The 23,313-nt window shown below is 34.2% G+C and overlaps 1 protein-coding gene across 9 annotated transcripts in view, besides 1 other annotated feature; it reads right to left on the bottom strand.

Annotated features, from left to right (window-relative positions):
• PDS5B (PDS5 cohesin associated factor B) overlaps positions 1-23,313 on the bottom strand; it is a 191,568-nt gene that overhangs the window by 32,556 nt on the left and 135,699 nt on the right. For all 9 annotated transcript variants that reach the window (XM_005266298.5, NM_015032.4, XM_017020452.3 and 6 more), the window contains 4 exons: positions 13,240-13,363; positions 10,134-10,292; positions 4,316-4,384; positions 2,737-2,873 (listed from right to left, as the gene is read on the bottom strand). In XM_005266298.5, the coding sequence (XP_005266355.1) occupies positions 2,737-2,873; positions 4,316-4,384; positions 10,134-10,292; positions 13,240-13,363 (489 nt within the window). The remainder of the gene's footprint in view (positions 1-2,736; positions 2,874-4,315; positions 4,385-10,133; positions 10,293-13,239; positions 13,364-23,313) is intronic.
• Positions 16,765-16,965: a silencer, noted in NCBI's record as "peak2067 fragment used in MPRA reporter construct". NCBI's record gives its function as "represses an SCP1 promoter by STARR-seq MPRAs in K562 erythroleukemia cells {active_cell/tissue: K562}" and the evidence as "EXISTENCE:reporter gene assay evidence [ECO:0000049][PMID:32103011]".

The following is a 23,313-nucleotide window of genomic DNA, read 5'->3' as shown; positions in this document are numbered from 1 at the left end:
AGATGTTGTCTAATACTACAAAATTCTTCTTTTAAACATAAGTCAATGCTAGTGTCACTCAAGTCATTTAATTCCCTCATTCTAAATAAAACAAGTCTTAGTCAAGCGTAGAAGAAATCTGTCTGTATGTTTAGTTGTTAGGTTTTACATATTCTACTATGGATTTTGTTGGAGAAATGTTTATATATAGATGAGGCACCAAATATGTTCTAGCTTGCTAATAAATCAAACACAACTACTGTGCTAAGCACAGAAGAAGAATGAAAGCAGGTGTGGTGAGGAAAACATTACTATTCCTTAGCTAGAATTCAACTTTTCAAATATTACCAAGAGGCTCTTTTTAAGTTCAAGGAAAGACAACTGCTAAAATGAAGCACAATTCATAGAATTCCAGACTAGTAAATACATCTAAACAATCCTTCCTAATATAGTGATATATTAGCTAAAATAAAGGGGATCTTGAACAAATATAAGGAGGGAGAAGTTGTAACTCCTTAAATAGAACCCCTTTGTAGCTCTATAGTAAAAGATTGTTATTCAACATCCATGCAACAAATCTATGTCTATTGTGTACATATAGCACTGCGGGGTATTTAAAATAAAAGACAGTCTTAGTTTTCCAAGACTTAATAATCTAGTTGGCCATGTAAAAATATTGACTGGATGCTAGCCAACATTAGTAAGTTTCTAAAGTTGTAGGACTTCGTCTCAAAGGTGTGTCTCATCCCATCAACAACAATATTCCAAGTAGCTATTAATCAGTAAATCATAGTTCTTAGTGCAAAAAGTATAAACCACCTGTTGGATGTTTTCCTCACAGATATGGATAACAGATGCTTCCTGTGTTATCTATCCTTAAAATTTCCCATCTGGACCAGAGGTTTCTATTTAACCTCGTAAACTTTTTTTGTTTTGTTGTTTTTAGCTTTATTAAGCAGAGGAAACTTTTCTTGAAACCAAATCTTACATAAAAGTTTAAGGTGTAAACACAAAAAATCACTTTTGCTTAAATAGGAATGCAAGCTTCCCACTTAAGGAAAGGACAGAGACCCCCACCTACCAACTCCCAAGACTCCACCTGTTATGTCTCTACCAGAAAAAATTCTTATTCCAACTCTAGGCTGCCCCTAAATATTCCTGAATGTCATATGGGTTCCACAAAACACAGCATAAGTGACATTATATACTGGGTATTATTCCAATTACATTCGAAATTTTAATACATATAATCCTTACATAAACTCTATAAGGAGATACTATTGTTATCCTCATTTTACAGATGAAGAATCTAAGACACGTAGAAGTTAAATAACTTGCTGATAAATAAAAGCAGCTGATAAATGGTAGAACCTCAGTTTGAACCTGTGTAGTGTGTCTTCAATCTGCCTGAATGTTGTAAACCACCAAAGAACTTTGCCTCTCTGATGAAAGTTTATATAGCTGAATATAATTGGCCAAATAAGAAATATAAAATAATATAATTAATAAATTGATTTATAAGGCCAAATGTATTAACACTGAGGAAAATTTCTTTACCAGGCTGAGCTGATCAATACAAAATTATTTCAAATTCAGTAAAAATTTTAAATGAAAACATACTTATTATTTGTAACTCCTAAACATTGGCATATATAAATTAGGGGAACAGAGACATGAAAACAGAATAGATTAATTAGAATAAAAGAAAGTAAACAGATACAGAATGAATAGCTTACCAAGTTTTTTTTTATATGTTTTGTTTGAGAAGGATGTGCTTCTGTTAACATTCTATGCAAAGAATACAGTATAAGCAAAACATACAAGGAGAATACAGTATAAGCAAAACATACAAGATGGAAAGGCAGAAGGCAGCTGGCAGTCATCTTTGTATGTTTTCTTATTAAAGTCTTTAGATATATTAAGGAGCACAGAGCTATTCTCCTATTTTGTATTACCAAGGAGGGGCACCAAATGGCACTTGGTTTACACAGAGGACAAACGTTAAATTTTAACTAACACTGACATAATAACCACCATTATCATCAATGCTTCTAATTATTATGTGCTAAGTAGTGTTTTAAATGCTTTAGGTATACTAACTTATTTAGTTATATCATAACAGCTAGATGAGCCAGGTACACATAATTATTACCTCCTACTTCCGTGGGTAAGGAAACTGAGGGACCAAGAAGTTAAAGCAACTTACTGAAGTTCACCTGACTAGTAAGTGGTGGAACCAGAATTTGAAATCCAGGCTCCAGAGTCCAGTAGTTTTCAATCACTACACTGTACTTACTACATCTTTCAAAGAAAATAAAATAACAAAAACCAAAAAAGTGTGCTCATTTTCAATAATTTACTTCAGGTACATCTTTAAAGTATGCATTTATTTATACTTCTGGAAATAGATTCAATAAGTTGCCTTTCACCCAATCTGTTCTTTCCCCTTACATATTTAACAAGAATGTAAAACATCAGTTATTGACTGGTACACTCACACTTTCATACGAGATATTCTAAAATGTAAGAATCTATTGTTTAAAATATTTACAATGTATAACAGTACCCTGCACCAGACATGTGACCGCCACTGTAAAATAACCACTGTACAAAAGCATATTCCAGTAAAAATATATGCACATGTACAAAGCAATTCTAATTTAAAAAAAAAAGAAAAAGAAACAGCACCATTGAACAGTTACACCAAGAGCTGAAATATTATGCAATCCAAAGAACTGTGAAATAGTAATTGCATACCTAATTTTCCCCTGTTCTGTCAAGTCTCCATCACTATGCAATATTGTTGTTAGCAATCTTAAGGTAGAAGTTCCTGATTTACTGTGATTATTTTTCATTCCAAGTAGCCATCGAACCATCATTTTAATAGCCTGAATCTATTTAAGAGACAAGTCGACAAATAAAACACTGGTACATTTTGAAAGAATTTCTGTATCAACTTTTTTTAAAAATAAAATGTATTTAATGGATGCTTTTTAAGAAAAGAAAAAATTCTTTTCTGTATATATGAAGATAATCTCGAATGTTTTAAAGATGTTTCAAACATCCAAGAAAATGGCAAAAGAATGATTTGACTAAAGACTAGTTTGTTCTTTGCTGTTTTAAAATGTTTCCCCAACATATATTTGATCCTGTAGAACATACAGTAAAATCATGCTTAACCTCTCTAATCAGAAAAGTTAAGTTCCCAACTACAAATTACATTTAATCTTTTCTGCCTAAAAAATGATACCACTCATATTTGTTCTACATTTTATGATTATGAAGTATTTAAAGTATTTTTACACCCATTACTTCCTTTAATGTTTCCAAGAATTCTTTTGAAGAAGTACATATTACCTCTTTTTAAAATGATGTACAAATTATCTTTCACATATTAGCTCAGCTTTTTACAGAGCTAAGGCTCAGATGCTAAGAGGGTCTTCGATAGTGTCTGGCTCACGGCAAAGACGGAAGATCTCTTTCCTGGCCAGTTGGTAAGTATGCCTACCAACTGGTAAGTTGGTAAGTGGCCTACCTTCTAGTCCAGTGCTGCTTTCAAGTATACAAAAACTGCAGCTTGAGACCAATGCCGAGAAAAACAGGTTTATACTGAGACTCAAAGTATCAAGCATCATTCATTGATGTAAAGGTGGGGCTATTGTACAAGTCTGCAAAACTAGTATCATAACCTCCAGCTAGAACAATGTGAAAAGGTAGTTCGTAATACGAACTATAAACAAATACACACACACACACACACACACACACACACACACACACACACAGACTGAAAGGGTTTATAAGAAATTACAGCTAGAAAATAACAATATTTAATGTATGTATTTTTGGCCTTCATATCTTGGTAGTGGATTGACATGAGGTCTACACTACAGGCCATAGATGGTTTTAATAAATCAAGAGTCTATACCAATGATGAGCAATCTTATAAAACTCCTAATTCAATAAATTATAGGCTGAATTTTTTAAAAATAAAAAGTTTTATTAAATCCCATGGAAAAGATGAATAGGCTTAAAATCTGAACTATCATCTTTACAGAACAGAGGAAAGTCCATAAAAACTAGCACTGCCTTTTGCCATCAGGGAAACAGCTTTCAAACCTTTTTTTCTCCTCAAATTAGATTATGTGCAGCTGTCCACAAAATCCCAGCTTTCTCATTATTACCCTATAGTCTCACAGCACATAAGACATCATACAATAAATGTAAATACTTGAGTGACTTTAATATCTTTCCAATAGAAATAGAAATTTTAATACCTCAAATATTACAATGTGGTGATTATATTAAAATCAATAGATCTATGCACATTACTCACTTTGACCATTGTCTCAGGAGATACTTCTTCATCTGGAACCCAAAGTTTAGTTGTCTTTTTCCCTGGAAGCTAAAAATAAACGAGAAAAAAAAAAAAACCAGGGACTTTAAAATGTAAATATGAATTCTTTTCAATTAGCACTTAGAAAATGAATGAAATCTGTACCTTCTGCAGTGACATTTGTTATATATGACTAAAGTACTTCATCTAACCCTATTTACTTTAAAAAAAAAAAAAGGTTGAAAGGCATACCTTCACTAGCGCCTATGTACAGCACTTATAGATCCATCACGACTGGTTCTTTCTAGGTCTGTGGTGGGACTAACTCTAACTTCTTACACATCACTCCCTTATTTAGCCCCTTTTGAGATTCAATTATTTAATGCAAGAACTAGGATTTTAAAAAAACATGGAGCCAAAAGGTGTAGCTCTTAAACAAGAAGAAAGGTATAAAAAAAAAAAATCTTGAGCTGGAGGGGTTTTGTTTTTGTTTTCAGCACAACTCCAAACTAATCCTGAGGTGATCATGTGCAAGTACTAGCAGGTAGGTGTTTACAGTAGTAACCAGGAAATTAAAATAAGATGGCAAAAGAGCTGAACCAATCTTGGAACACTTGAGATCCCATTTTTTACCCTCAGGTCAAAGAACAGGAATTGAATATCACCTCAGGTAACCCTCTGGTAACAAAACAGGTAGCCCCCAACATCTAAAAAGGCAAACTCCCTCAAACACAAAGAGCTACAGATTCACACACAGTTTATAACTCATTTCTTCCATTGAGAAGTGCCTTCAAAGTATGAAGTAAAAATAATGAAAAAGGAATCACATTAGGCACCTTGTGATGAAATTTCTAACTAAGGATGTCAAGATCCCAAAAGCTTCCATAAAGAAACTACCAAAAAGGAATAAAAGATTAACTTCAGATTTCTCAGCTGCAAGACCAGATGCCAAAAAAACAATGCTCTGAATTTTCAAGTGACTTGAAACACAGAATTCTAATATCCAAAAAACAGTACTGAAGAATGAACACTAGAATTCAAGACAGAAAGCTTCCAAATTACAATCCATGTTGAAAGAATTACTCAAAGATAACACTATTTAATTCACAAGAAAAAACTAAATTAGTATAAACTATTACAAATACAAAGAAAAATGAAAACAAAAACCTTACATAAATAAGAAACTATCAGATACTACCAGAAACAACAGAGACTATCAGGTAGATTTATAAATAATAAAGCCACAAAAGATACAATAAAAACAAACAACATAAGAAATCTGAAAATTATGGGATGGAAAAATATACCAGTCAAGATGAAAAGCACTGAAGAGGATATGGACTTAAATGGGATACTGATATATTTTATCTTACAACACCAAATAAAATATAAAATTCATGAACATTTACACAACTAGCAGAATAACATCAAAATAAACCAGAACCAACATGATTAAAATCAGAAGATTGAATACTTCATCACAGCAGAATATGTGAATATATCTCTTTCAAAAACTGGTAAGTTAGGATGAAAAAGGATAAATACCTAAAATGGAAGTAAATATACAGAAATAAAATATGCAAGCATTAGAAAATAATCAAAGCTGGCATTCTTTATAATTGACAAAATTAGAATTTAGCAAGAAAGATGGATATAAAATCAGAATTACCAAATAATTCACCTTATCAATCATAAACATAAAACATAATCTTAAAAACTTTATTTAGTGCCTAACATAAGTTGTGTGAGAGAAATTTAAAATTTTTCTTTTTAGAGAAAACTATAAAACATTAAGGAAAGACATCTTGTGGATGGGCAAACGCATCAGTGGAAAAGAACAGAGGCTCTATAGGAGACATGAGTGGTAGCACTGCAGATTACCAGGAGATGGTAAGATATTTAATAAACAGTGCTGGGAAATTTGGTAACCCTAACATGCAGCAAAAATGAAATCCTTATATCACAGCATACAAAAAAAAAAAGTAAATCAATTCCAGATGGATTGATTTTTGTGTGTGTAAAAAAAGAAAACCTTCAAAGTTTTAGAAGAACATATGGGAGGCTATTTTCATGACATTAGAGTAGGAAAAGATTTCTTAAATAAGATGTAAAAAGTATTAACTACCAAAGAATAATGATAAATACAGCTACATTAAAAGTAATAACTTTTGTTCAGGCCAGGCGCGTGGTGGCTCATGCCTGTAATCCCAGCACTTTGGGAGGCTGAACTGGGTGGATCACGTGAGTTCAGGAGTTGGAGACCAGCCTGGCCAACATGGTGAAACCCCATCTCTACTAAAAATACAAAAACTAGGTGGACATGGTGGTGGGCGCCTGTAGTCCCAGCTACTCGGGAGGCTGAGACAGGAGAATGGCTTGAATGTGGGAAGTGGAGGTTGCAGGGAGCCGAGATGGCGCCACTGCACTCCAGTGTGGGTGACAGAGTGAGACTCCATCTCAAAAAGAAAAAAAAAGGAATAACTTTTGTTCAAAGGATCAAAGGACACAATAAAGGAGTGAAAAGACACACATAAATGAGGTTTTACACACTTCATGATGATACTATAACATGTACCAGATAAAAGATTAATATAGGTACAGATTGCCTATGGGAAAAAAACACCAAGGGGAATAAAAGGTAAAATACATCAAAAGGGAATTTCAGAAAGTAGGCAACATGAATGGTGACTAGACACACAAACTTAATTAGTAACCACAGAAATGCACATTGGGACTATAATGAGCTATAATGAGATACTGTATCTATTAGATATTTTCTCCCAACAGTGTATAATAACATTATTGTCAGATTTCTTAATAGAAAAATAAGTTTTAACAAACATTATAAAAAATGACTTAAAAAAAGTGAAAAGTTAAATATGTCTATATACCGTGATTCATCAACTTCACTCGTAGGAATAAAACCTAGAGAAATTCTTGCTCATATGTAGCAGGGGGCTTCAATAGAAACATTCATAGCAGCACTGTCCGAAAGAGTAAAGAAATGGAAATATTCCACAATCTACTAGAAGAATAAATAAATTACGAGATATTTTCCACAGTGAAATTATAGAGTAACAAATGAATGAACCACAGTTAGATTTAGTAACGAAGATTATTCTTAGAAACAAATGTGGAGTGATAAAAGCAAATCCTCCAAGACTATACAGGGTATGATATAATGCTTAGAAACCTCAAGAACAAGCAAAACTAAACAAGTATGTGGTAAATTTTGTTGCTGTTACAGATTAACCCAAGATTCAAGAGAGTAGATATTAGGGACAAGGAGGAAGTAGAAAGGATTGAAGAGTAATAAAACTCTAAGAACTCTAAGGAACTAAGAGTTCATAGGTGTTCATTGTATTATGAAACATGTTATACAAATGTTACATATATTCCTTTGTACATATCAAATATATAATAAAACAAGACAAATTAATGGATTAAAAATGGTGAGCAGTTCTGTTTCTGACAAGATGTGACTAGGTTGTTTTGAACCAATTTTCATACTGAAACAAACGGAAAGGCTAAACAAAATATTTTTTAAAAATCAGTTTGAAGGCAACAGACAGCTACCAAAGCAGTGAGAATTTGCAGGGCAAAGTTTCAAATAAGGAGGGAAAGCAAAGATTTGAGTCTGGCACTGAGATTAGTTTTTTCACACAGACGATTAATGATTCTGAAAGTGAAAGGGGGATAAGAAGTTGAGCAAAGCTTTCCTGTCACAGAGCTAGAAGAACAAGATTAAGAATCCTGAGCCCATTAAGTAAAGGCCTTGTTAAACAACCTGGACTTCTGGGTGGATCCCAGACAAATATACTCTAGACATAAGGTGACCAGAAAAAAATAATAAGCTTGTCCAAAACTGAAGCCAAACTTCCATTTTCATTGGATGGAAGTGATCTGACGATAGCTTAACTGCCTGATAGAAACAAAAGTAAAACTCTGGGAAGAATATAACCACATCTGAAGCCTCACATTATCTCAACAACTTTTCATACAAAAAGTCTATCACTCAATCAAAAGCAATATATGTACAAGGTAAGATTTGACCAAAATTTTGAGAATAGACAAAAGTTACAAGAGATCAAGATGATAAGCCTAACAGATACAAACTTCACATAATTAAGATTTTTCAAGGATTTAATGACAAGCAAATTCTGCAGCAAAACAAAGAGCTATGTTTAAAAACTATAGAATTACAGAATTGAAGTATGTGTATATATGTGAAATTAAGAATTCAAAGCATGAGCTTTAGGTACGACTAGACAAAACTGAAGCGAGTGAACTCAAAGATAGGTCAGAAAAAAAACAAAAACTGAAGCATGAGGAGGCTGGCAGAAAAGTACACAAAAGTGTGTCACACAGCTAGGTCACAGCAAAAAAACAATGTACGTTTAAAGTGTGTTAATAGAACTGCAGTAAGAAAGGAAAGAGAATATGAAACAGAAATCGTATATGTAAAGATAATGCCTAAAAATTATTTAAAGTTTGTAAAAAACTTTAAGCTATATATACAAGAAGAGCTCTAAGCCCCAAGTACAATAACTATAAAGGAAAGCATACCCAGACACATCATAGTAAAACTGGAAACCAATGGAAAACAGAAAAGACAAAAACATTCACAGCAAACAGACAGAAGACCTTCAGAGGAACAAGACTGTCAATAAACTTCAAGAAAAAAGAAAATGGAAAATAGAATAATATATTCAAATCACTGATGGGGGAAAATACACCAGTCTAGAATTCTTAACCCAAAGAAAGCATCCTTTAAAAAATTAAGGTAAAATAAAGATCTTTCCAGACAAACAAAAACTGAGAAAATTCATTAGTGGAAATCCAAACTAAAAAAAAAGTACTAAAGTAGTTCTTTAGATAGAAAGAAAATCATTACATAGAAAGGAATGAAAAACAAAAGGAGAAAATATGTTGGCAAATCTAAATAAACATTAACTGCATAAAATAACAGCAGTAATAGAACTGGGTGAACAAGAGCACAAAAAAGCACCAAGGAATAAAAGGAATTAAAGTATTTTGAAGTTCCTTGTGCTATACTGAAAGTTCAAAGCAGACCAACTGACACTGGCCTTTAATAAGTCCAAAGTCCATGTTGTAATTTCTAGGAAAACTACTAAAATAATAGCAAAATGTAAAACAGACTGGTAAAATGAAATAAAAATATTTAATCAAAAATAAGAAAAGAGAAAAATACACAACTGACAGGACAAACTGAAAACAAAAAATCAGGTGGCAGATTAACCCAGATATCACTACTTATATTATGTTTACTTTTTGGAGGAAAAACTTTATCTCATGTTTCTTTTAATTCTCCAGAGAACCTAGTACAGTGCTGTCACAGCAGATACAAAATAACTGGAGACTAACAAAATCATTATTTCCTCTCCCAATGTTTTTTCGTTCTCTCCCAATGTAGGGAAAAGAACAAGTTTATATAGAAAAAGGTAAAACTATAATCATGACAACCATACTATGAGCTGGTTTACCAATCTGCATATTTTTAAAAATAGATGTCCTGTCAAAAATTAAACCCCTGTAAATCTGAAATAGATAGCATCAGGTTATATTTTATATTTATCAAGGAATGTATTTGAGGTCATATGCCTATTCTCAACTAAAAAGATGTTTCAAGATGGTTTTGCTTATAATGGAGACAAGGCTTATTTTTTTTAAACAGGAAAACCTAAAATCAAGGCAGTCAAATGGAAGTATTATTGATATCATTTCACTTCTTTCCTTGTTGGATAAAATTGCAAAAGTTAACATTACAAAGAACATGAATCTAAAAAATATAAATTACCCGATCATTCATGAGAAGATCTTTCACAATGAAAGTAGCTACCAAAGATTTCAAAGGAGCAGCAAATTGATCAGGTGCAAGGAGAGCAATATGACCAATAGTAACCAATGGTGTTATGAGATGTTCCAGGTTGCTTGGATCTAGGCTCTTATGCAGAGGCTGAAAATGAGGGGAGGAAAATATATTTCAACTCTACACATATACAAATAAACTGTTTACATATTTCATTTTCAAATTACAAAATTTATTTTGTAATTTATTTTGTAATTCAAATTATAAAAACTACAAAAATTTCAATAAATATACATAGTATAAGTAGTAACTCAAGATTACATTTAGACTTCTATAGGTTATCTATGTCCAGAAGGCATCAGGTTCAAACATTTTCAGTTTTGCCCAATTCAGTTTAGAGGTAGGGTAAAGAAACATTTCGACACAGACTTCATAGCATATAGTTTATGACCATATACATGAATGTGTTAGAGACTGCTAGGGCTCACCAATATCCACTTCAATTTCCTGGGCATAAGGATGACTCTACTTGCAGCTTCCTGTGCAGTTAAGTGAGGATATATGAATGAGTTCTGGTCAAGAGAGTGGGAGTAAAATGAAGTATGCCACATATGCACTGAGGTAGGTATGAGCAATATGTCTTCTCCACAGGCTCTACTCACTGGCTGGCTTGATGCCAAGGATCCAGTGGGATTTAAAGAGAAGTCACTAATCAGAATGAGTCTGTGTCCCTAAGCCACTGATTAGAGGGTCATTCAAACACCCACTAGACTTTTCAGAAGCAAGAAATAAGCTTTTACTACATCTAGTCACTTGAATTTGGGGATCTTCATTATAGCACCAAATATTAAATACCATAACAAATAAAATGATTTTTTGTTATTCTGATAGGAAACCCAACCATTAATATGCATTTTACCATGATAAAAGAATGAACAAGCTCTTCAAATACTCATATAAAATGATATCAGAAATATATTGTTAAGGCCGGGCATTAACAATTACAGATTACATCTGTAATCCCAGCACTTTGGGAGGCCAAGGCAGGCAGATCACCTGAGGTCAGGAGTTCGAGACCAGCCAGGCCAACATGGTGGAATCCCGTCTCCGCTAAAAATACAAAAATTAGCCAGGCGTGGGGCATACGCCTGTAGTCCCAGCTACTCAGGAGGCTAAGCCAGGAAAATCACTTGAACAAGAAAGGTGGAGGTTGCAGTGAGCAGAGATCACGCCACTACACTCCAGCCTGGATGACAGAGCAAGACTCTATCTCAGAAAAAAAAAAAGAAAACAAAATATATGTTTGTGTGTGTGTGTGTGTGTGTGTGTGTGTTTTAATTTTTGAAATCAGAAGGGTGACTAAAATATGCCATTGGCATAAGGAGAGAGAGGGAAACAAAATATGCGTGTGTATGTGCATGCATGTGTGCACGTGCATATTTACATGCCCTTACTTGTATATGAATAAAATATCTCTGGAAAAGTACGTTTAGAAACTACTAACAATGGCTCTGCCTCTGGGAAAGGAAACTAAGTGGCTGGGGATACATGGGTGGGGGAACTTTTCACCGTATATTCTTTTTTGCATCCTTCTGATGTTGAAACAAGTGAATTTATTTTCTATTAGACATTTTAATGCCACATTTTAATGAAAAACTGGTGCTCTATTCTCCCACACTGAACACCAAGAATTGTAGGCTTGAAAGGCCAATACAAAACTGTTCTTTCCCAACAAATTAGGGCAATGTGAGGCTTCATTTAGTCAAAAATACATTTAAATGAGTTTACTTCTTGCTATTCTTGAAGACTTCCCTCAGTACTTCCATTGCACATCTTGCCAGCCTATTGTTCATATTATAAACAAAAATATCATAGTGTAGTTTTTTCAATTAGATTATAAGTTTGGTAATTTTCCATAACAAAATCATTTCTAAAAAGCAAAATTAATGGCCAGGCCCTAGATTAGTGGAACCTCAAAAATGCCAGATATTTCTAAGAAACCTTTTCTCAGGAAGCCAGCCAACCAAATGCTACATAGGAGGAGGACTACAGAGGTTCTTGTAAAGATAAAACAGCAGATACAATATCAAAATGAAAGAACTACTCTGAAATTCAACTTATATCAGTGTTTCTCTCATCACTATTGAGAGGAAAAGGAGAGCAACCAAAAAGAAAACTTTCCTATAAATTAACATCAATTTATTGAAGCCATTCTCATATACAAACACAGACTACAGAAAATACCGCCATCCCCAAATACACAAAAATTAAATTATCTGCTATCTACAGGAAAGATGGTGTTTGGAGGATATACTACTTTTCTTTCTCCTTCAGGTCTTTAACATAATACATGAAAATATGACAAAAGTACCAACTTTCTAAAACAAAGATATTAAGTCCAAGTACTTATGTCAAGGAGCATCAGAATAATTTCTAAATTGTTTTGACTCTACTCAAGGCTCTTGAACTAAAATTACAAAGTAGGATTTTATGAATTTTCTGCTTAGCTTTTATTTGCACTAACAGTGTTAGTGTTAGGTTCTAATTACAATAGGCAGCAATAAAATTGCAATGCCTGGGTAAAAGTTATTTAGAATGTGGATAAAATAATATAAAATATATATTGAAAAGACACTTTATATCTGACACAAAATTAGGTCAGTCATAAAACTATAAACTTACTTTATATTAACAATTAGTACTGATTTACAAAACCTTACACTTCAATAGTTTCTCAAACAGAATTCAAATTTTTTGATCCTACAAATGAAAGAATAATCATCTGTTACCTACTATCTGTAACTATGATTTTATATGTAATTACCTGTTAACAAAAAATAGTCTCCAAATACAAATATATAAACCAATGTACAAAAATAAACAATGCTTGATTTCTGAATCTGTTATCATTAAACATTTGAATACTCAGATATTTTCATATTTTAACACTTATCAATGTTGATTTTACTGATTCAAATTCTGAAAATATATTACAAAATGATGCATCACCAAATGTGAACATTCCATAAAATCATCAATATTTGTTTTGTAACTATGACATATGAAATAAACAAGAAAATTTTTTTCTCATTACCTCAAATATCTGTGCAAACTGGGTCTCTTTACTAGAAAATATCGCATGGATACAATGAATGGCATATTTGGCTTGACGGGGGGGTCCTTTTTTAGATTTGTGATGTAAAACAGGAAGCAAGGCTCTATTAAAAAAAAATCAAAGAAAAACAATAAACCAGAAAAATCAACAAGACTTCTGCTAGATACTTTAATATTTGTATTTTTAAGTAATGATTTACAAGGTCAGAAAAAGTCACCAAGATTTACTCAAACTCACTTCCAAAGGCCTATGATTTTGCTTTATAAATATTTATATTAAAAATGTAATCCAAATACAAATGTGGTGTTTTTTACTTTTTATTCACCAATAGCAAACACTAACAGGCTGGTGACTCACACTCTCCTGTTAACGCCGCTCCCAACAGGCCTCTCTCTTTTTATTCTTACTGCTATCATTCCAGCTAAACTTCTGCCACCTTACACATGTATGAAACTGACACTGTCTCTTCTTTCTCAAGTCTCTGCCTCTTCCAATTCACCTTTCATTTTGTGCCAGAGCAAACCACAAAAAGGAAAATCTGATTAAACAATGCTTATTAAGCAATATTACATGCCAGGGACTATTAAAAGGCTCCAATATTTAACTTGATGCTACTAGCATTTTAGGGACAAGATAAATTAACAAAATAAATGTTATGTTAAACTGTGAGAACTGCTACAGAGAAAAAAATTTTTAAAGATGGAGGATAGAAATAGGAAACAGGGAGGGAGGTATAAGAGAATTACAATTTTAAACAGAAGATCTCCCTGATAAAGAAACATGTGAGCAGAGTTCTGAGGGAGGTACTGAGTAAGTCATATAGCCACCTGGAAGAACATTCATGCATCGTATTATTTCATAACTCAAACATTTAAAACGAATACCGAATAAAGGAGCTCTTAAACTATTATACAAACATCTCAAAGCAAAAGAAACTTCCATATCTTCCTCATTGCCTGATACCAACCCAGTGCTTATCACACTAAGAGTAGAGTCTCACAAAAGATACCAAAGGTGAAGTATCATTAAAAGAAATATATTCCTAACATGTAAAGGCCTAAAAATGGAGAATGAAGAGACCAACAAAAACACAGAAAAACAGGCAAGACAGAAAAAGGTAAAACATTCTTTAATATTATACTGAATGGGCAAAAGCTGGAAGCATTCCCTTTGAAAACCGGCACAAGACAAGGATGCCCTCTCTCACCACTCCTATTCAACATAGTATTGGAAGTTCTGGCCAGGGCAATCAGGCAAGAGAAAGAAACAAAGAGTATTCAAGTAGGAAGAGAGGAAGTCAAATAGTCACTGTTTGCAGATAACACGATTGTATATTCAGAAAACCCTGTCGTCTCAGCCAAAAGACTCCTTAAGCTGAGAAACAATTTCAACAAAGTCTCAGGATACAAAATCAATGTGCAAAAATCACAAGCATTCCTATACACCAATAAAAGACAAACAGAGAGCCAAATCATGAGTGAGCTCCCATTCACAATTGCTACAAAGAAAATAAAATACCTAGGAATACAACTTACAAGGGATGGGAAGGACCTCTTCAAGAAGAACTACAAACCACTGCTTAATGAAAAAAGAGAGGATACAAACAAATGGAAAAACATTCCATGCTCATGGATAGGAAGAACCAATGTCGTGAAAATGGCCATACTGCCCAAAATAATTTATAGATTCAATGCTATTCCCATCAAGCCACCACTGACTTTCTTCACAAAACTAGAAAAAACTACTTTAAATTTCATATGGAACCAAAAAAGAGCCCATATAGCCAAGACAATCCTAAGCAAAAAGAACAAAGCTGGAGATATCATGCTACCTGACTTCAAACTATACTACAAGGCTACAGTAACCAAAAAAGCATGGTACTGGCACCAAAACAGATAAATAGACCAATGGAACAGAACAGAGGCCACAGAAATAACATTACACATCTACAACCATCTGATCTTTGACAAACCTGACAAAAACAAGCAATGGGGAAAGGATTCCGTATTTAATAAAGGTTGCTGGGAAAACTGGCCAGCCATATGCAGAAAACTGAAACTTGACCCCTTCCTTACACCTTATACAAAAATTAACTCAAGATGGATTAAAGACTTAAATGGAAAACCTAAAACCATAAAAAACCTTAGAAGAAAACCTAGGTAAAACCATTCAGGACATAGGCATGGGCAAAGACTTCATGACTAAAACACCAAAAGCAATGGCAACAAAAGCCAAAATTGACAAATGGGATCTAATTAAACTAAAGAGCTTCTGCAGAGCAAAAGAAACTTATCATCAGAGTGAACAGTAAGTAGCCTACAGAACAGGAGAAAGTTTCTGCACTCTATTCATCTGACAAAGGGCTAATATCCAGAATCTACAAGAAACTTAAACGAATTTACAAGAAAAAAACAACTCCATCAAAAACTGGGTGAAGATGAACAGACACTTCTCAAAAGAAGACATTTATATGGCCAACAAACATATGAAAAAAAGCCCATCATCACTGGTCATTAGAGAAATGCAAATCAAAACCACAATGAGATACCATCTCACATCAGTTAGAATTGCGATCATTAAAAAGTCAGGAAACAACAGATGCTGGAGAGGATGTGGAGAAATAGGAACGTTTTTACACTGTTGGTGGGAGCATAAATTAATTCAACCATTGTGGAAGACAGTGTCGCGATTCCTCAAGGATCTGGAACTAGAAATACCACTTGACCCAGCAATCCCATTACTAGGTATATACCCAAAGGATTATAAATCATTCTACTATAAAGACATATGCACACATATGTTTACTGCAGCACTATTCACAATAGCAAAGACTTGGAACCAATCCAAATGCCCATCACTGATAGACTGGATAAAGAAAATGTGGCACATATACACCATGGAATACTATGCAACCATAAAAAAGAATGAGTTCATGTCCTTTGCAGGGACATGGATGAAGCTGGAAACCATCATTCTCAGCAAACTAACACAGGAATAGAAAACCAAACAACACATGTTCTCACTCATAAGTGGAAGTTGAACAATGAGAACACATGGACACAGGGAGGGGAACATCACACACCAGGGCCTGTTGTGGGGTGGGGGGCAAGGGGAGGGAGAGCATTAGGACAAATACCTAATGCATGTAGGGCTTAAAACCTAGATGACAGGTTGATGGGTGCAGTAAACCATCATGGCACATGTATACCTATGTAACAAACCTCCACGTTCTGCACATGTATCTCAGAACTCAACGTTTAATTTTTTTAAAAAAGAAGACATATAAATTACCCTAAAATGCATGAAAAACTGTTTACCTTCACACATTTTTTTAAAAAACTATAACAAGAGGACTTCTGCTTCAGATTACAATGGTGTAACTAAGACTATTTACTCTCCTGCCTTAAATGCCCAGAAGAGATAAATATGCTAAAGGTTTCAGACACTAGGGAACAGGTAGCAGAGAAATGTGATCCCTGATAAATGAGAAACAAACTAGAAGAGCTTTACTGCCCAGCTTATCGCATGGAAGTATTAAATAGTTTCTAGGCTGTAGTACAAATGACCCAAATAGAGCCTGGGTTGAGGGAGATAAAGATGAGAGTTCAGGGAGGCCAAGGAAGCTCTGATTTCTAGAGCACAATACCAGAAAGGAAGGAGTTACAAAGGGAAAGGCAGCATGAGCTCTGCTAATCTGCAGAGGCTATCCCTGAGTCTTTGGCTGGATAATGATCCTCAATCGTGTTAGGAGGAAAAACTACCTGAGACCAGGAAAAGGACCATGGAAAGCAGTAAGACAAAAAATTCCCTCAACACAAACAGGGCGGTTAATTACTCATTCCTACTAGACATAGTAGAAAGCCCTTATAATATACAACCTGGACAAAAATTACTCAATAGAAACAGACCCAAAAATGACATAAGTGATAGAATTAGGGTAGACATTAAAAGAGCTGTTACAAAAAACACTATGCTACATAGACTCAAGAAGTTAGAATAAATCAGGAATGCAGTGCTAGAAATGAAAAATATAAAATATAAAAAAAGATATAAAAATATAAAAAAAGAACACAAATAGAATTACTAAATATAAGAAATACAATAGAAATGGAAAATAAACTGATGGAATTAAAAGCAGATTATACACTGCAAGAGAAAAGTATCAGTGAACTTGAAGACACAGCAATAGAAACTATCAAAATAAAATGAGAGAGAAAAAAGGGCAAGAAAAAAATAGTAAGACAGCAGCTGTGATCTATAAGACAGTATCAAGTAGTCAAAAATACTTGTAATTGGAGCCCCAGAAAACAACAAGGCAGATGGAGAGAATAGATTAAAAAAAAAAGTATTCAAAATAATAATGGCCAATTTTTTTCCAAATCTGATTAAAATAACCTTAGAGATCCAAGAATCTCAATAAACCTCAAGCAGAAAAAAGATAAACCATTTCAAGGCATATTATTATTCATTTGGATAAAAATTAGTGAAAAACAGAAAAATCTTAAAAGCAGTGCAAAAACAGAGGAACAAGGATTGATAGAACACTTTTCATCAGAATCTGCAATCCGGAAGATAATGGAGTGACATCTTTTAAACATTAAATGAAAATCACTGTAAACCTAAAATTATATTCCAAGCAAAATTATCTTTTAAAAATGAGGGAAAAATAAAGACTTTTTCAGACCAAAAAATTCACTATAAAATTCACTATAAAGAGAACTATACATCAAGAAATATTAAAAAGAGTTCTTCCAGAAGAAAAATGATACCAGATGAAAATATGGATAGACATCCAACAAATGAAAAGTGACAGAAATGGTTATTATGTGTGTAAAAGAAATTTGTCATTATTAATTCGAGATACACTAGAGTAAAAATATCAAGAACATATTATGGAGCTTATAACATATAAAAACAAAACATAAGACAACAAAACTTAAAAGACTGGAGGAAATGGGCATGGAAGTATAGTGCTGTAAAGCTTTTACACATTAGTATAATTTTATTGGATGTAGATAAACCAATAGTAAAGATAAAATCATAATACTTGATTAATCTCAAGGAAAGCAGACATAAAGAATAGAAGAGGAAAACTATCAAGATGGTAGCTTTAAACCCCACCATATCAATAATTACAGTAAGTGTAAATGCTCTAAGCACTCCCATTGAAACAGTTTGTCAAATTGGATTCAAAACAACCAATATAAAAGCAAACAAGGAAACAAAAAACAACAACAGAAAGACAACTAGGACATTTATTTAAAAATAAATAAATAAATAAACTTTTTCTTTAAGGGTGTTGCTCTATTGCCCAGGCTGGAATGCAGTGGTACAATCATAGCTCACTGGAGCCTGAAACTCCTGGGCTCAAGTGATCCTCCCGCCTCATATTCTCAAAGCACGGAGATTTACAAGTGTGAGCCACCATGGCCAGCCAAGAAACTCACTTTAAATATGAAGTCCCAGGAAGACTAAAAATGGAAAGGAAAAATATATGCCTTACAAACACTAGGACCAAAGAAAAGCACAAATGGCTACACTATTCTCAGACACAAAAGCCTGCAGAACAAGGAAGATGACCAGAGTTAGGAAGAGACATATTTCATAACAACATCGTCTACTGGCAAGGCTGTGGGGAAGCAGACACTCTTACATACTGCTAGTGAGAATGCAAAGTGGTGTAACCATTATGGATAGGAACACAGTAATACCTAGCAAAATTGTACATGCATTTACTCTTCTATTTCTAAGAACTGCTCCCAAAGATAACTGTCAAAAAACACAAAAGGCGCAAATACAAAGCTATTCACTGAAAGACTGTAATACTGAAAACAACCCAATGTCCATAAATAATGAACTGGTTAAATAAATTATGATACAGCCACACAATAAATGGGGATCTCTCTATATTTATATGAGATAATTGCCAGTGCATGCCATTAGAGAGAAAAAAGGTGAAGAAAAGTGTATATAGTTTATCTTATTCATTTTATCAAATGTGCATACATATGCAGACAGGTATGTGCACGGAAGGGGGCTTTTTTTTTTTTTTTTAAGTTTATCTACAGGGAAGAAAGGAATAGGTTAGAGGATTGAGGATTGGACTTCCTGAAATTTATCTTGCTTCCTTTAGATATGTTTAAAGCCATTTAACATTTCATATAATTAAAAAACAAAATTAAATTTTAAAAGAGCGACCTCTCAAAAAGAATGAAACAAATGAACAAGGGTATGTATCCATGTGCTAGCATAACCACCCAAAGAATTATTATTCCAAATAACTTTAAAATGGGAATTTGACTGCAGATCTCTAATATGATACATGCTAAATAAAAAAAAGAACTAGCTAAAAAAGTAAAAGACTACTTTTAGGAATCATATTGGTGGTGCTACTGCTATCATGAGACTGCTATGGATGTATTATGAGATAAAGCAATTGAGTTATTATGTAATATTATAGTGTTGTTATCCTGTGCCATGAGGGAAAAAAGAGATATAAATGTAAAATTGAAGTTCAGTAAAAACCATGTAATCCTGAATTTGAACTGTAAGTATCCGTATAAACAAACATGAATTTCATCTTTCAAAAAAGCTATGTCTACTGAATTATCATAGAGTCATGACTTATACATTAGCAATTAGTACCCACAGGACTCATGTTGTAATTTCTTAATACCATTCCCATTAAAAGGAACCAGAGCCCCTCGGAGAATTGGCCAATTCCAGGTCTGGGGCAGAACAAGTGCAAGATAGTCCTGGAATATCCTGTCATACAAGATAGCAAAGAAATTACAGAGATTATTGGGATTGTTTCAAAGGACTCAGGGACTAACTTGAAGAGGCTTCCAAGATTATACACGGGATAATCTGGGCATCAATGCATGTGATCACCATAACTGACTGAAACACAAATATGCGTAAACCCGTTATGATTTTTTTAAAAACGACACTCAACTGGTCACCTTTGGAGGACACTAGTCCTCTTTATTTTGAATACTACTAAATAACATTCAAAAAATCAAGCATTTATTCTGCCTTTCCTAAACAAATATAACACTGGGAAACCAAAGAATCGATAAGAATTTGCTTTTTACAAAAGTATTCAGCTAGGAAATGAAGAAGAATGACAATAAGAATATCAAGACTGACTACTAATATCAACAGCTGCAAACATCATAAATAGAGAGATGGCCAGCTATTATGAGCCTCCTGACAGGAAAGCATACAAATCTTATAAAATAGTCCTGTAAAAATAAAAAAGTTGAACCAGAATCCAATGAGGTCTCTGGATTCAGCCATCATTTTAGAGAAAATAAAGAAATATGGCCAGGCACAGTGGCTCACACCTGTAATCCCAGAACTGTGGGAGGCTGAGGTGGACAGATTGCTGGAGCCCAAGAGTTCGAGACCGACTGGGCAACAAGGTGAAACTCTGTCTCTACAAAACAACATAAAAATTAGCCAGGCATGGTGACATGCGCCTGTAGTCCCAGCTACTTAGGAGGCTAGGTGGGAGGATTGCTTGAACCAGGAGGTCGAGGCTGCAGTGAGCTGTGATCGCACCACTGCACTCTAGCCTGGGCAACAGAGCAAGACCCTGTTAAAAAAATCAAAACAAACAACAACAAAGAAGAACCTATCAAATTATGTCTAAGGGATAAAATTAGCAAAAATCAGTCTATGGGAAACTCTTCAAGAGAAACAACCTGATTCCTGCTGCAAGCAGAGTGAGAGCTAGAGAGAAAGCCCACAAGAAACAAGATACTTAAAAGACACAGCAACCAATCACAATGTATAAATCTTACTTGCATCCTGAATCAAACAAACAATTTTTGAGGAGGAAGGGTGGCTTGAGCCCAGGAATTTGAGACCAGTCTGGGCAACATAATGAGAGACTCCATCTCTACAAAAAGTTTAAAAAAAAAAAATTAGCTGGATGTGGTGTCTGTGGTTCCAACTACTGAGAGGCTGAGGTGGGATGGTCACTTGAGCCCAGAAGTTCAAGGCCGCAGTGAGCTACGATCTGACTACTGCACTCCAGTCTGGGCAACAGACCAAGACCCTGACACAAACAACAACAACAAAAACACATTTTTTGAGAAAACCAATTGGACATTAAGTTATTAGTGTTAACTGTGTTTGGGATAAAGATATACAGATGAAACGACAGTATCTGGGATTTGCCTTCAAATATAAGAGGAGCAAGGGAGTGTGTGGAGGCACAGAAAAAATAAAGCTGGCTGTAAGTTTATTCATTGTTAAAGCTGGTTGGTGAATACCTGGGGATTTGTATTCTCCCTACTTCTGTATATGTTTGAAAATTTCAATAATATAACGTGGAAAAAAATTAGTATAACTAAAACACTAATCTTTTAGTCTATGGTCTGTGGTTTCTTTGTGAAATAAAAGATTATTATTCTGTGGTTACTTCAGTAACTAAACTTCATAGATAAGACCTATCTTCTCATAAATCAGATTTGATAACACAAACACCTATAATCTTTCCCCAATAATCAAGAGAAAAATTATTGTTCACACTAGCAGCAACTTTAGCTGAGATTTTTAAAGATAGTTATGTGAAACCTTTAGCTCATCCAATATTTTACATACTCAGTTATTTTAAAAGAAAACAAACTGAAACAATGAACATAAAGAAAAAATTTTAAGAATTCTGCAGTACTAAGTCAATGAAAATAAATAACCACCTATGCTGACTGCTTTTCCTATTAAAAAGAATTTCTTATTCCCTCATTAAATTGACTTTCTACCTTCAAGTTCAAGTTTTTTCCTTGATAACAATCATACCAATATAGAAAATGAAAAATACATTCAAACTGAAAAATACATGAAACCCTAAAGAAAAAACTCAGCATCTCACTACCCTGAAACAATACTGTCAACATTTTGGTGAACACTCCTAAAATTTCTCTAGACATATTATTATACAGACATTAATAAGTAAGGATATAAAATACACAGTATTTGGAAACATTTTTTTCAACCAACAATGTGTGTAGAACCTCATTTGTCAAATATTGCTAAGCACTATTCTTTTTAACAGTCACATAGCTCTCAGTGTATGTATAGTGTATGGCTATACCAAAACTAATCTCATACTGATAAGCATTTTAGATTTAAAAATTTTTAAAAACACCTTAACAACAATACCATGAATATCCCTGTGCTGGCTGTTTACATACTCTCTCTGAGCTTTAAACCTATCCTTTCATAATCTGCTCAGAGATCCTGAAGCTGTAAATCTGCAAAGAGCTGGTTTCCTATTAATTTCTTCCACTGCAAGACACTAGAGCTTCTTAAGGCGTTCTGAGCAGTAGTTTCACTGCTCCCCAGCAACAGCCAGGCCATGCCATACTTTGGCAGTCTGTTGGGTGATACTGACAGGGCTCCTCCACCTCTTAACATTACTTCTTCCCAATTATCCCACCAGCTCTAGAGGTAGTAGCTGCTTCCACCAATTTGTATCCCTGAATTACCAATGCAACATTTTTCTCTTTTGTCCTTTAAACATCTGTATTAATTTGTTTAAAATACAGTCATACATCACTTAACAATAGGGATACATTCTGAGAAATGCATCACTGGATGATTTCATTGTTGTGAGAACATCATAGAGTAAACTTACATAAACCTAGATGGTATAGCCTACTCATACCTATATGGTATGACCTATTGCTCCTAGACTACAAACTTGTACTACATGTTACTGTACTGAATGCTATATGCAATTATAACACAGTGGTAAATATCTGTATATCTAAACATAGAAAAGGTACTGAAAAAATATGGTGTAAAAGATAAAAGTTGCTCTCTCTCCCTCTCCATCGTCTCCATCTCCCGCTTTCCACGGTCTCCCTCTGTTGCCGAGGCTGGACTGTACTGCCGCGATCTCGGCTCACTGCAACCTCCCTGCCTGATTCTCCTGCCTCAGCCTGCCCAGTGCCTGGGATTGCAGGCGTGCGCCGCCACGCCTGACTGGTTTTTGTATTTTTTGGTGGAGACGGGGTTTCGCCGTGTTGGCTGGGCTGGTCTCCA

Source organism: Homo sapiens, chromosome 13, assembly GCF_000001405.40.
Source record: "Homo sapiens chromosome 13, GRCh38.p14 Primary Assembly".
In the NCBI taxonomy this organism is placed as follows: domain Eukaryota; kingdom Metazoa; phylum Chordata; class Mammalia; order Primates; family Hominidae; genus Homo; species Homo sapiens.
Note: the sequence above shows the minus strand (reverse complement) of the source record. Positions and strands in the feature narration are given on the sequence as shown.